At 55.9% G+C, this 14707-nt stretch overlaps 1 protein-coding gene and 1 non-coding gene across 4 annotated transcripts in view; both read left to right on the top strand.

Annotated features, from left to right (window-relative positions):
• WDR1 (WD repeat domain 1) overlaps window positions 1–14507 on the top strand; it is a 42461-nt gene extending 27954 nt beyond the window's left edge. For 2 of the 3 annotated variants that reach the window (NM_005112.5, NM_017491.5), the window contains 10 exons: window positions 105–182; window positions 473–553; window positions 906–1139; window positions 4316–4403; window positions 5668–5824; window positions 7402–7489; window positions 9845–9955; window positions 10920–11093; window positions 11398–11542; window positions 13362–14507. In NM_005112.5, the coding sequence (NP_005103.2) occupies window positions 105–182; window positions 473–553; window positions 906–1139; window positions 4316–4403; window positions 5668–5824; window positions 7402–7489; window positions 9845–9955; window positions 10920–11093; window positions 11398–11542; window positions 13362–13468 (1263 nt within the window). In that variant the 3' untranslated portion in view covers window positions 13469–14507. Of the gene's footprint in view, window positions 1–104; window positions 183–313; window positions 554–905; window positions 1140–4315; window positions 4404–5667; window positions 5825–7401; window positions 7490–9844; window positions 9956–10919; window positions 11094–11397; window positions 11543–13361 lie in introns of all 3 variants that reach the window. The other variant, XM_017008880.3, reaches the window with a different exon arrangement.
• MIR3138 (microRNA 3138) lies at window positions 10154–10235 on the top strand. The gene has a single exon (NR_036090.1). It is a non-coding gene; the product is annotated as a microRNA 3138 (primary transcript).

Here is a 14707-nt window from a genome sequence, read left to right as displayed (position 1 = left end):
ACTGATGAACAGCTGGAGCTGCAAGCTGTGTTTCATAGAGAGCATTCTTGAACCTAGAGTCAGGCCTGCGGCCCCTCATCAGGCAGGTAATTGTTTTCCTGCAGGACCACAGCCGCTTTGTCAACTGTGTGCGATTCTCTCCTGATGGGAACAGATTTGCCACAGCCAGTGCTGACGGCCAGGTAAGAACTGGGATGGGTTTTGGGGTGGGGAATGGCTTGTCTGCCTGCTCCCGTGACTGCTCAGAGCCGCAGGCTGCCTAATGCTAGTCCTGACATGCAGAACTTAGACATCGCCCTCCCCACATCTGCAGACTCGTCGTCAGAGCCCAGTAAATGCATGTCTGCTTTTAAACCACACTGGGAGCTTAGTCTGTGAGCCCCGGTTTTCTACAGCCACAGTCCATGGAGAAACTGCTTACTCCAGAGGGTGTTCACACACACATGACCCACATGTTTTTATTTCTTGGAAGATATACATCTATGACGGGAAGACTGGGGAGAAGGTGTGCGCGCTGGGCGGAAGCAAGGCCCACGACGGTGGGATTTACGCAGTGAGTATGAGCGTGTTTCCCGGCCTAGTGGTGGGAATTTGGCCGAGTCCACGTGTCAGTCCATCCACACTCACTCCGGAGTTAGACAAAAACTTGAAATGAGGGGCTATAAGTCGGGGCGGTTTTATATCTGCCCAGAAAAGCTTTAAGGTCGCAATAAGGTGATGGGAGAAGGTAGTGGCTGGAACGGGAGACCTGGAGGCGGGTGTTGTCCTTGGCCTCACTCATGTCCCACCCTCTCTCTGGGCTCCTTCTGTCCTACTCAAACAGTCGCAGTGGACAAGCTGCTTTTTGGGGTCTCTCTCCAGTCTGTAGTCCTCTGGCACATGACACACTGCTTTTTTCTGAATAGATTAGTTGGAGTCCCGACAGCACCCATTTGCTTTCTGCTTCTGGGGACAAAACTTCCAAGATTTGGGACGTCAGCGTGAACTCCGTGGTCAGCACATTTCCCATGGGCTCCACGGTTCTGGACCAGCAGCTGGGCTGCCTATGGCAGAAGGACCACCTGCTCAGTGTCTCCCTGTCCGGGTACATCAACTATCTGGACAGAAACAACCCCAGCAAGCCCCTGCACGTCATCAAGGTAAGGCCTGCCCTGGGGAAGGCTCTGCCCGCTGGGTGGACAGGGAAGAGACCAGAGTGGCCAGCAAGGAAGGGGAACCGAGGGGAAGCCAGGTGGAAGCTAGAGAGGTGTCCTCAGGCCTCCTTGGCCCTTGGGGTTTTGGTGGAAGGCTGGGATGCTGGTTGCTTTCTTGGGACATGAGTTTAGCCATGGTGGCAGGCCAGGTGCCAAGTTCCCCTTGAGCTACTGTGAGAACTGGAGAGTCAGGGCCTAGTGATTCGGGGCAGTGGCCATCACCCCCAGCTGTTGAGAGCGGTTACTTCCTGCAGGGCTCTGCCTTCCCTGAATTGGGAGTGCACAGCCTGTGCTTTACCCGACTGCAGGCAAGAGCAGAAGCTCACTGAGCACCAGGGCAGGTGACGGGGCATCGCTGAGGTCCAGGGGCAGGAGGGAGGAGCAAGAGCAGGTGGCCTTGGGCCTGGGCCTTGGCGCTGCCTGGAGTTTGAATGTGGTGGGCAGGGTGTGAAGGAGATACTGGAGTTCCATAAGGGAGCGATGGGAGCAGGAGGAAACGGAGTTAGAATCATCCATGGGTCCCAGGTGTGAAGGCCCCAAATGCCAACCTGGGGAGGAGCAAGGTGCCTGCTTCTGAACCCTAACCCGGAAGGGTTCACTTGAGCCAAAGGCTCCCTGTGTTCCATTGGCTGGGGGGGTCCTGCCTTCTCCCTCCACCCACACCAGCCAAGTTGACGCCTCTGGGAATCTCGCAGCTGGACAGGAGCCAGAGCAGGGGTCCCTTCTGTATCCTCAGGTCCTCCTCTCACAGCAGCGCCCTCGCCTGCTTCCCACACTGCATCTGCTGGGAACTCCAAGTCAGGTTCCCCCAGCGCTGGTGGCCCAGGGTGGGTGACCCCTCCTGCTATTCTAAGCTGTAATATCAAGGCAGGTGGACAATGCACTTCATCCCAGCAGCCCTTCTCGGGCTCCTGCTTTAAGCCACTCGGGGAGACAAACCCTAGCACTTCCCTCACCCATTGCATCCTGCTGCCGTGGAGCTCTGGGGGACCAGCCTCTGCAGAGGGTCTGAACCCTGCAGGGCTAGTGTGGGCCAGCCTGGAGCAGCCCCCGGGCCTGTGCACTCGGCCCGTGCTGTGCTGTCAGTGGCTCCTTCACACCACGGCTTCTAGGAGGGGCTGCTAGAATCACCAAATCCATTCTACATGGGAGTTTGCCCACGAGGAAGGGGCCTCGTTAACGTTGTGTGTGTGACTCCTACGGACCAGGTCACCTCAACGCTCATGCATAGAGTCACGGTTCCTTTGTGCCGGGGCAGTGGGGGCAGCAGCACTGCTGAGAGGGGGAAGGCTGAACCATAAAGGTTCACTAGACGTGGCCTCGAGGATAGAGGGGAATCGGGAGCGCCTCCTTGCTGGGCTCACAGCCCAGGGTGATGAGTATAAAAAGGAAGGCACGCACAGCATGGGGCCGAGGAGGTTGTTGCCTGGGGGAGCTGAGGGCTCTTGTCGAGACCATGCTCCAGTGGGCCTCCAAGTGGGATGGTGAGAAATTGTACACGGGTGAGTAAGGCTTCGCTACTGCCCAGAAAAACAGTTTCCCATGAGCCATCCCCGACAGTGTTCTCCAGGTGTCAGCCCTCAGGTCTGCCGTCCCGTTTCTGTTGGCAGGGCTGCCCTGAGAGTGCTCTTCCTAATACCACTGCTGCCAACTGTCTGGGGCCAGTGCACCCGGCCTGCCACCGTGGCTAAACTTATGTCCCAAAAAAGCAACCAGCATCCCACCCTTCCACCAAAACCCCAAGGGCCAGTTGTCAAAACCCCCATGTCCCAACTCTCAAATGCCACACCTGTGTGAGTCACGCAGATGCTGATGTTCGGTGCTGATCTGGGCTGCAGTGGGATGGAGCAGCAGGTATCAGCCCAGGCTGCGTGTTAGAACCACCTGGGAGCTCTAAAAAGCGCTGGCTGCTGACGCCCCCAGAGGCACTAAGTTTACAGGGAAGTCTCAGGGCAGCAGGAGCTTGCAGGCCTCCAGAAGGAACACCCGTGGGCATCTGGGCATGGCTAGGAGTGTTTCTGGTAAGTTCAAGGCATTGAGCCTGCACACAAGTCTCTTGGCCTCTTGCCGAGTGCACGTTCTGATTTGGCAGGAAGGTGGGCCTGAGCCCTGCTGGTGGGGGCTGTGCTGGTCTGAGGTCCGCGCTGTAAGGGACTGGTGGGATGCCACATTGGAAGGAGGCCGCCCAGCTCAGTGTCTCTTACTGGGGCATGTGATGATTTTTCCCCACGTCTCTGTGGAAAAGATGAAAGTAGCTGCATTCGTTGCCCATTCTCCAGTCCCACTGGTAACTGTGTACCTGTCTCCAAGGAGACCTGCATCCAAAGATCTATGCCATATTGTGGCAACATGTGGCATACCACAGAGATCAAGAATTCCTGCGGAAAAGCCCTGAGCTCAGAGGAGAGGGGCCAGCCAGGAGCTGGCCTCCCTTTGCAGGAGAAAGGCATGAGGAGCCTGCACCCTAGCTGTTATTTTTGTCTCAGGCTCAGATATGGAGGGGGCTAAACGCCGCCCTCTGGAAGCAGCTGTCTGGTTGTGGACCAGCCTTGTGTGCCCTCCACTGCAGCAGTCAGGGAGGTTAGGGTAGGAGCGTCAGCGTTCACGGACAGCCTTGGGCTTTTACAGTGATCAGAGAGACCCCTGCCCTCAGCAGGGCCAGCACTCCTGGGCAGGGAGAGAGAAGAAACCTCACAAACCAGGGCCTGAAGCGAATGTGGCCAGCGAAGTCCTCCTGGACCGACCCCCTTGTGGCTCCCCGCGACGGGTGCTGGTCGGCGGGGTGCAGGCCACGTGTCTGCACACGTTAGGTGCTCAGGTGCTGACGTGCTGGGCCTTGGTTAGACGCAGGTCTGGGCCCAGGTCTGGGTTAGGTACCTTGGAGGGAGGGGAATGAAGGGCAGGGTCTGTAGGTGACTGGGTAGCTTTGGAAAGGTTTCTTAGGGCTCGTGGGCCGTGCATTCGGGCAGCTGGGGCTACTGGGGCCTCAGAGCACCTGCACTGCCATGGATTGAGGGGCGTCTGCCCCCTCCATTACCCAGAAGCTTCGTTGGTGGAAAGCGGGTGGCAGAGGGCAGGGCAGTGTGTCATCAGCTTACCCGCCCAGTGTGTCTCCTTCACAGGGTCACAGTAAATCGATCCAGTGTCTGACGGTGCATAAAAACGGCGGCAAGTCCTACATTTACTCTGGGAGCCACGACGGACACATTAATATCCTTTGACTCAAAGAGCTGGCTCCGGAGCCGCTGGCTCTAGGGGGGAATTTCCTGTTCCCATGATGCCAGAGGCCAGGCCAGCCAGGTGGCTCCAGCTGCAGCCACAGCCACACGCTCTTCTGACCCGTGTGGCTTCTAGGGGTGGCCTGTCTGTACATGGGGACAGGCAACTGTCCCCTGGAGTTGTCCTTGGCAACTCCAGGGCTTATGCTGAGGAAAAGCCATGGGCGGCTCCGACCTGATCAGTCCCTTCTTGTCGTGCAACCCTGAGAGTGTGGCTTAACGGCCCTGAGCTTGGGCTGCCACTACCTCTGCCAATGGCACCTGGCGCCAGCCTTGGCCCTACTCCACATGGTGGGTTTCTTGATTCCTAGAATTCACAAGCACCTGGACACCCTTACGTTGGGTCCCCTTGTTTTAAAAATAGGAAAACCAGAGCCCAGAGAGCTGATGTGCCCGCCCCAGAGTCATGCAGCCTGTGGTCCACAGAGCCAGGGCTGGAGCTCCTGCGAGGTGCCTTGTGGCCCTTCGGTGATGTTCCCTGGAGGTGTTTGTGTCCCCCTTATAAGTCCTTGTCTGGGTTTCTTTAAATGAGTCCTGGTTTCTCCCTGATGATGGGGGCTTCTGTTGTGTTTTTCCTGCATGGCCTGGGGCTGGTGACACCCTGCTCACGGGTGTGTCTTGAACCTTGGAGCCACCATCTGCAGAGTGCCTGGGCAGGGATGCCCACACACGTTGCTGATGATGGCACCTGCTGTGCGTTGTTCTGCTGCCCTCCCTGAGCACCGTGCTGTGTTGGAGACTGCCTTTTGTGTGGACAGCTCTGGTCCGCATGTGCTGTACCTCCCAAAGGGACTGTCCGGGACCCAAGGAGGTCCCCCCAGGCTGGGAGAGGAGGGCAGACATGCCACCCTCTGCCCCCAAAACATAAAGAAATGTGGGGTTAGAGGGTTGCGCCTACCCGATAACTAGTAGCAGAGGAGACGCCGGAGCCTCCCCAGCTTGCTGGTCCCCAGTAGGCCTTCAGCACGGCTCCCTTTCTGCCTCATCCCAATCCCTGTGTGGTGCACCCACACTTCAGATACCCCTTCCTAAGAACGTGTCAACAGTGGACACTGCAGGCTTCCCAGGGGGAATGGTTATGTCCGTTTGCGGCGAGATTCTCATTCTTGATGTAAATGGAGAATCTTAGGACTGAAGCCACACCTGAGAACACCCAGCAGTCCTGGGAGCCGGGCTTTTCCTTAACCCCACCCTACATTACTGGGATTCAGAGACGGGGGAGAACGACTCCTTCGCTGGGAAAGGCCACACGAACCAGGTGTCCAGGATGACCGTGGATGAGTCGGGGCAGCTCATCAGCTGCAGCATGGACGACACCGTGCGGTACACCAGCCTCATGCTGCGGGACTACAGGTGAGAGCACTCGGGTCTGCGGGGGTTCCGGATGAGCCTCAGCTCCCCTCGGAGGGCTTGTGCCCTCCAGCAGTTACTGTTCTGGAGGACGCCTCACTTGCTCCTTTCATCTCTCCCACCCCGTCCCCAGCATTGTTCTCCTGTTGTTGGGCCCTGAGCCCAGCACTGTGTTACAGATCCAGGTGGTCTGGGTAATGCTCTTGCCCACAGACAACGACCAGGTGTGGACTCTGCCCTGGAAGCAGGGGCAGCAGATCACAGCCCTGTTCTCCAGGAACCTGCTGCGGTCTCTCCCTGTGTCCCTTTCCTCATCAGTAAAGGCGGGTACAGTGGAGCCTGCCTCAGGCTGTTGTGGATTAGGTGAGCCTGGCACAGGGCAGGTGCTGAGTACAAGACAGCATTCCCCTTCTGCTCAAGGGTGAGATGGGCACACAGTGATCTGGTTAAAAGACAATGTCTTGTTTGTTTTTGGTCTTGGGCCTTTGATTGGCAGTCAGTGGAGCTAGGAGAGTAGCAGTTTGCAAGTGATCTGAAGTCCTAAATGCAGTTGGAGGGACTTGAAAGAGAAATGTTCCAGGACCTGACGAGGCCACTGCACATCCAGTGTCCCCATGCCCAGGTCTGACCCCTCCTCTGGCCCTACATTTCTTGTGTAGACCCCTTTGTCACCCGGTAGTCCTGCCTAAGTCGTGTTGCCTGGGAGATGGGGACTCCTGGGGCCTGTTGATGGGAGCCTGGCACAGGGTGCAGCACGCAACTCCTAGCAGGTGTGCCGTCCTTGTAGGTAACACAGGCCCTGCCTGCCTGGCAGACTGGGCATCTGTAGGTAAATTGGGCCTCCCGATGAGTGGCAGAAGCGGCCCCAGAGCCCAGGCATCTGGGCCCTGGTCCTCTTTCTACTGCCCTGTGGTGACCCCACTCTTAACACGTCCCATAAAAGGGTCTTCCCTGGGCCAGATAACCCAAGGCAAGGCCCTTACAGAGCCAGCCTTGGCCTGGTGACCTTGCTGCAGAGCCTTTGGGGATGCCACACTTGGCCGAGTGACACAGAAATTTCCTTGATTATCTCAGTTTTCAAGAAGTTTGTGTGTATGAGTCTTTCTAGAACAAGTTTTGATAGCATTGGCCAAGGCTAAAAATAACATGATTTTCACCCATTAAAGGTAACGGATTCTTAAAAGTTACCCATCCATTTTGGGGAGCAGAGCTCAATTCTGTCTGTGCTCAGTAAACTCCAGTCTTTAGCCAACAGACAGGGGGACAAAAGCCACATCTGGGTGTAATGAGGGCTTACCACAGATAAATAGGAGCATAATCAACGCCTTTCACCGCCTCCCGCCCCTCCTTCCCCCCCCCCCACCCCTCCCCGGGCCCCCATTATGACTTATAATCTCTTTGCACCAGAGTCATGGATCGTTTTTTCGCTACCATCCCATATTTTAGCAAGTCTCTCCAGTATAGGTGGCAATAGAATTGCCTTCTAAGGAGCAAAACTGTGGTTTAACAGTAAATATGTATGCATACCTACCCTGAGCTGCTGCATTGTCGAAGTAATGTGCTTCCTTTCTCTCTAACAGCGGACAAGGAGTTGTGAAACTGGACGTTCAGCCAAAGTGCGTAGCCGTCGGCCCCGGGGGATACGCCGTGGTCGTGTGCATTGGACAGGTAGGGACCTGGCTTAGTGTTTGGGTGGGAGCCTGCAGCTGTGTGGTGCCTGCTTGCTGAATTTGACTCATGTCCCGTTTGACAGTTGCTCTAGCCAGTGTTTTGGTTGAGTGCTCATTTGCACTGCACTAAGGGATCTCACATATTTAATCCTCACCACCATCACATCAGTTGTACAGATGAAGAAATGGAGGCACGGAATGGATAAATTGGTTGTCCAAGGCCGCAGCTGGTCGGAGGGCAGAGCTGGGATTTGTCTCTAAGCCTCAGACCACGCTGCCTGCCTGTCAGCCTGTAAAGTCTATGAGATACCCTGTGGGGTGGGCCTGCCTTTGCTCCTGTTCACATCCCAGCCCTGCTGCATTGTAGCTGTGTGACCTCCGGCATTTACCTCACCCTCTCTGAGCCTTAGTTTCCCATCCCCAGCACTCACAGATCCAGGTGATTATGAGGAAGTACATGTAAGTCTCCTTACACCATCTTGGTTCCTCTTACAGATGAGGAGGCTGAGGCCTAGAGCAGCTTGGTACTTTCCCACATGCAGAAGGGTGGCACCTGACTTCCCGGCCTGGCTTCTAACCCCAGACAGTGGGGCCACCTGCACACCTTTGGAATATCTGGACCAAAGCCACCTGAGACCCAAGCCTGACCCACTTTATACAGAATTCTGCCCTGCAGAAGATATTATCTGTTGGCGGGCCTAGGCTTGCTGGCATGTAGACCGGGGAAGTCAAGGGGCACCTGTTGGCACGAGTGGCGAGCCCTGCTAAAGAAAGCTGCTTTCAGCACCCTCTGGCCCTCCTTTGCCTTGTGAACTTAATTGCGTTAGGGACAGTGGATTTCTCTGTGTCCTAGATAATAAGAAATCCCTGCCAAGTAATTATTGCAAACAGCCTGGACAGCCAGTGGGGGTGGGGAGGTGCAAAGGGAATCCACACATGGAGCGCCTCGGGGCCTGGGGGAAACGCTACAAAGCGGAGTTCTAGAAGGCTGGCAGGTGGCCTATCTCTGCACAGCAGGGCTCTTCCCAGCCAAGGGGTCTGCACATGGGGCTTTGTGGGTGAGGGGATGAGGCCTAGGGCAGCGTGCCCTGTGTCTCCAGACCCAGGTTTCCTCATCTGTAAAGTTGTGGTCATCATAGGCCACCCTTTCCCCTGAGGCTGAGAGGATGTTCAGACTGGCCCAGCTGGCGCCTGCTGCCCAGGAGGTTAGAAAGGACCCCGGTAGGGTTGTGGTGTGCAGGGGACAGGCTCCAGGTCTCTGCACCTCCTCATGTGGCATTTCTCTGTGATCTGCTGTTACCTGATCCTCCCAGGGCATCTGGAACCCCTGCTCTGGGTCAGAATTTTCTGCAGAGCTCCCTGTCACCAGTCAAAGAGTTAGGAGGGTGCTAGGAGGGGCCTGGGATTTTAGATCAGGAAACAACCAGGTTCAAGTCTCATGTCGGACGAAGCTTCAGGCAAATGCTTAGGCCCTCATTCTTCACCTGTGAGTAGGTAAGGCCACCTCCAGAGCCGGGCAGATGACAGAGGTGCCTCTTCAGTAGTAGGTTTTAGTCAGGGTGCTGCTACCATTCATCGCGATCCACCCACAATCCACGCAGAAACAGAAGCCCAGACGGTAGGGGCAGAGGCTGCCTTCCCTCATGACAGCTGGTGGCTTGGGTAGGGGCACACTGGGATAAAGGCAAAACTCAGAGATGAAGGCCACTGTCTGGGAGCAGTTGAGTAAGTTAGAACCGGAAGAATTGACAAGGAAGGGAGATGGAAGGAAGGCCCCCGCTGCAGAGCCTCTGCTGCATGTACCAGAGGCAAAGGCCCAGTGCGGGTGCCGAGGCTTGGATTCTGGGCGAGTCCCGGCTCAGCCTGTGGGAACTGGAGCCTTGGGCGTGCAGCATAAGCACCGTACCCCATTTTCTTCTCTGAAACGGGGAACCCGATCCCTGCCTTGTGGGGCTGGAACACTCACAGCAGAGCGCTGGCACGTGCCTAGGGGCTGTCGCTGTTTTTGTTTACTGTTGTTAGTACCTTTCTTACCCTGAACGTTGATTCCCATCGAGGCCAAGTGACTTTCCAAGAGGTGGTGCTGTGGTGACTGCCTTGGAAGTAATGTAGTGATGACAGTAATGGTCACAGTTAGTTGTGTTTCCTGCCCCACCTGACTGGCTAGAGCAACTGTCAAACGGGACATGAGTCCAGGTGGTGTGGCTCAGAGCCCCAGGTGGCCCTGCAAAGAGGTTGGGTATGGAGCCAAACCCAGCTCCAGTGAGCCCCGACAGGGACGCGCCCCTCCTACCACTGAGGGTTTTGTCCCGAAGGGCTGGACCGCCTGACCAGCTGCCTGTGTGTGCCACAGATTGTCCTGCTGAAGGATCAGAGGAAGTGCTTCAGCATCGACAACCCCGGCTACGAGCCCGAAGTTGTGGCAGTGCACCCCGGCGGGGACACGGTGGCAATTGGGGGTGTGGTAAGTCGCTTTCCTCTCCCCCGTGCTCTCTGTCCTTGGTATCTGGGTGATTTGGGGACAGTGTGAGCTGTGTGAGTACCGGGGCTGTCTCAGGGAAGGCGAGGGGTCAGGGGAAGGATGGGGGCAGTCGGGGCGTGGGACCTGCTCTGGGGCCCAGCCACGCCATCTCCTGCCACCCAGGGCTGGAGCCTTCCCCTCCCCTCCTCGGCACTTCCCCCACCTCACTGCCCGGGTGCCCACAAGACTGTGGACAGTGAGGTAGAGGGAGTGCCGAGGAGGGCACAGCTGTGCCTCAGAGCCAGCCCCATGAGTGGCGGCAGGAGGGGAGCGCAAGAGGGTAGCAGGTCAGGAAATCAAGGAATGGCATCCCCTGGGGCTGGGCTCGGCTCACAGGTTGAAGGAAGAGTGACAGAAGTTTCCCAGCATCTTCAAGGTGCGGTACTAACCAGACATTTTACAGTTTCCCTTGAGTTCTGCCTCGGCATAATTCTCATGCCCTTGAATTTGTGTGTGTGGTCTGGTCACAGTGTGCCTGGCCAAGTCCTGAGTGCTCTGTAGAAGAGCTCATTTCCCCTCTCCAGCCCAGGAGGGCAGCCCTCTGATAACCCAGTCCTGCAGCAGGCGTGGCAGTGCCCTCCATGCTAGGGGCTGGGTGGGTCTATGTGCTGCCAGGTCCTTCAGGTGCCGGATGTGACCAGGGCATGGAGTGGCTTCCTCCACCAGCCAGCTTGAGGGCCTCATGAGACCAGCGGTGCCCCGAGGTACCAACAGCTGTTTTCATAGAGCTGCGTAGGTTTCAGGCCCATCCACGGGAAGAGCCATGCCCAGCTCCTGGCATGGGCCCAGCAGAGCAGCAGTCAGTGGGAACGGCACAGTTTCTTAAGCCCTCGACCCCCCCTTCACAAAGGATGGGTGTGGTGTGTGTGTTCAGGGGTGGCTCACTTCCTCTCTGTCCCTGCCGTAGGACGGCAACGTCCGCCTGTATTCCATCCTGGGCACCACGCTGAAGGATGAGGGCAAGCTCCTAGAGGCCAAGGGCCCCGTGACCGACGTGGCCTACTCCCACGACGGCGCCTTCCTCGCGGTGTGCGACGCCAGCAAGGTGGTCACAGTGTTCAGCGTTGCTGACGGCTACTCGGTGAGTGGCGGCGGGCTCCTCCTCTGTCCCCGTGCTGGGCGGTGCAGGTGGCAGTGGGAGGTTATCTGTGACTTGGTGACCTTGAGCTGAGCCTGTCTGAGCTGTAGTTTTCTTGCCTCTACAAGTAGCAGGTGCCTCGTGCCATGCTTCTGAGGAGTCAGTGGGTTTGCAGGGGTCGCTGGCATAGAGTTAGCGCGTGAGAAACCTCGGTCCTTATTGTCGCCATGAGGGATAAGCGAGGTGATATGGGCAACTGCGGCCTGAACCTGACCTGCCACCTCTCTTGTTTTCAACCTGCAACTAGGAGAACAATGTTTTTTATGGACACCATGCAAAAATCGTCTGCCTGGCCTGGTCCCCAGACAATGAACACTTTGCCTCCGGTGGCATGGACATGATGGTGTATGTTTGGACCCTGAGTGACCCGGAAACCAGAGTCAAGATCCAAGGTGACTTCCGCCCCCAGGCCTTGGCAGGGACCACCCATGGTTCGGGGCTCCATGGGCCACCTCACAGGCTGTCCCCTGGCTTCAGTCCCCAGGGCTAAGTAGCCTCTGTGCTTCTAGACAGGTGGCCCGGAAGAGTTGTGGGTCTCCTTCCATCCAGCAAACACCAGCTGCGCTGCTGGCCGTACTGAGGGACCACGGGGGCCCCATGCACAGGACACCTGCTGAGCTGAGTGAAGGCCTCACTTTTGACATCTTCACTTCCCCCACTCACCCCTTAAATCCCACCTGGGACCAGGGTCTCCCCCTCCCTAAGACAGCCACGTCCAGTGTATAATGTGAGCCTCATGTGGCGTTGAAATTTCCTGGTAGCCACATTTAAAAAAGAAACAGGTGAAATGATTTGTAACAGTAGGTTTTATTTAGCCCCGCATGTCATCATTTCTCCCTGAGGGGGTTGTGATGTCCCCGCGTGGCCATGCACGTATTGTAAGGCAGCTCTGTGTTGTCCAAACCCTCCCCTCCCCGAGTGCCCCCCTACCACTCTCCTCCTAGTGTGTAGTCAAGTCCCCTCATCCATTCTCCTTGAAGACATCCTTTTGTGTTAAACATTAATGGGGCCCTTTCCTATTTAAAAATGTCTGAGCCCACCCCCAGAGCCCATTCCCCAGCTGCAGGCTTCAGGTGCAGGACAGGCAAAGAGGGAAGGCAGCCCGGTCTGGAAGGGAGGAGAGACAAAGCAGGTTTCAACGTCCGTCCTGGTTTATAAGGCAATCGCCAGTCTGGTAGTGAGAATCAAACAAGTTCATGAATGAAATGGATCCAGAAAAAAATACAGCAAGAGCTAGTCAGATAGAGATTAGGAGGTCGGGGTCTGTGTCTTCACTGTGAGGTCACAGGCCACCAAACATGAAGTGACCTCAGCATCGGGTTCTCGTGCAGATAGTTGAGTTCTGCATCTGGAAAAGAGCCAGCCTGGTGATGTGGACAGAGTGCTAAAGCCTGGCCTCACAGCCAAGTCATGCTTGGTGGTTGAAGGCGCTCCTGGGCACCTGTGCCACCCGCAGGCCAAGGCTTCCTTCATCAGGATGTATGCCGTGCCAGGCAGGGGTGGGGGCTGAATCTCACCCTGTCTAGGTGGGGCTGCAGATCTAGAGGCTGGGGGCCACCCGGACCTGGGGAGCAGAGAGCTGGTGGGAACCCCCTTGCCTGCAGCTGGGAGCCTCCCTGGGCTTCATGGGCAGAGCTAGCCACAGAGGAGCCATAAGCGCACAGGCACCGTCTCACTATTGGCATCTCGGTTGGGTGGAGGCAAGATTATGGGGAATCGAATCTGTTCACCCACGGTGTGACTGTCACAGAGGGGAAAGTCAGTGGCCCCCCCAGTCCTGTGTGTTCCAGCCTCTTACTGGTTGTCATGCCTGCCCCATTTTAATAGGGCATGGATACAGTGTAGCTGTTTGTGTGGTGTCTGCATGTCATCGCTTTTATACATAAGAAGACATTGTTATTTCACTCCTGTGGAACTTGGTTGTCAAGACTTGGAGAGAGGGAGCCACTGGCATCTGTAGGTGGAGCCAGGGATGCTGCTAATTACCCTGCAGCACACAAAAAAGAGGTACCCGGCCCCGGGGTTCAGGAGTGTCACGTGGAGAATTCAGCCACACTGCCACCGTGCCAGGCTCCTGAGTTACAACGATTCGTGGCCATTTTCTTGGCCCTGGAGATGATTTAGGCACAGGTTGTTCCATCTTCCTAGTCCAAGATGTACATAGTTGCAGAGAAGTTTGGCTTTTCGTTAAATTGCACCCTTTCTTCCCAGATGCACACCGGCTGCACCATGTCAGCAGCCTGGCCTGGCTGGACGAGCACACGCTGGTCACGACCTCCCATGATGCCTCTGTCAAGGAGTGGACAATCACCTACTGAGGAGCCCCACCCCCGCCTCTGGATGGACCGAATCAGGGACTAGAGTTTAACTGCAGCGGAACATGTCATTTCTCTATTTCTGTGACGCGCCCCCATGCCCCCACCCCACCACAAGAGGCAGGAGGGCCCAGTCATGACCCTCGTCTCTGCAGGGTGTCTGTACACGTTCTTCTGAAAGCTTTAGACAGTAACAGTTTGCACATGAAAAATAAAGCGAGCACCTAAACAATGTGTGGAGCATAACTAAAACCCACAGCCCAACCAAACCTTGAGAATGCGAAACATTCCAGAGGCAGTAGCCTCCAAAGCACACAGAGCCCCTGGCCCCGCCGCGGCTCTCACTATCTGTCAGGGGAGGTTGTACAGGTGAATGAGCCGGGGGGCTCATGTTCCTGCCTGCAGAACATTTCTGTACTAGTGAGAAGAGGGAATATGCATTGCAGTTCAGCAAAGCCGGAATTCTGTGTTGAACAGATGTCTGTCTCCCTAGTGTGTGACTCACACCTTGTGGCTGCCTTCAGAGCGCCACCTCCAGATCAGATGGGGACACACAACCCCTGGATATGTTTCATTGTCAGATTTTGTGCTTGATTTTAAGAATGGAATTGTGGGTATCTTTCCTTTTTTTTTAATGTATCTTAACTGTTGCCTGTCAGTGTTTACAAACTAGTGCGTTGACGGCACCGTGTCCAAGTTTTTAGAACCCTTGTTAGCCAGACCGAGGTGTCCTGGTCACCGTTTCACCATCATGCTTTGATGTTCCCCTGTCTTTCCCTCTTCTGCTCTCAAGAGCAAAGGTTAATTTAAGGACAAAGATGAAGTCACTGTAAACTAATCTGTCATTGTTTTTACCTTCCTTTTCTTTTTCAGTGCAGAAATTAAAAGTAAGTATAAAGCACCGTGATTGGGAGTGTTTTTGCGTGTGTCGGAATCACTGGTAAATGTTGGCTGAGAACAATCCCTCCCCTTGCACTTGTGAAAACACTTTGAGCGCTTTAAGAGATTAGCCTGAGAAATAATTAAATATCTTTTCTCTTCACTGTGGGTCACTGACTTTGTGTGATGGGGGTGTGTGGGGCGGCTGGGTGGGGAGGAACGTTTGTGGGATTTTCATGGCTTTAGAGGTCTTACCAGTCTGCAGCCTCAGGCAGGAAATGTTTGGAACACAGGATTGTCAGATCCATCATGTGGTGGAAGGGAAGCCCCAGAGAAGGGGCTGGAACCCTCGGTTCCTGCTCC

Source organism: Homo sapiens, chromosome 4 (genome assembly GCF_000001405.40).
Source record: "Homo sapiens chromosome 4, GRCh38.p14 Primary Assembly".
Taxonomy (NCBI): Eukaryota; Metazoa; Chordata; class Mammalia; order Primates; family Hominidae; genus Homo; species Homo sapiens.
This window is presented reverse-complemented; position numbering and strand designations above follow the sequence as displayed.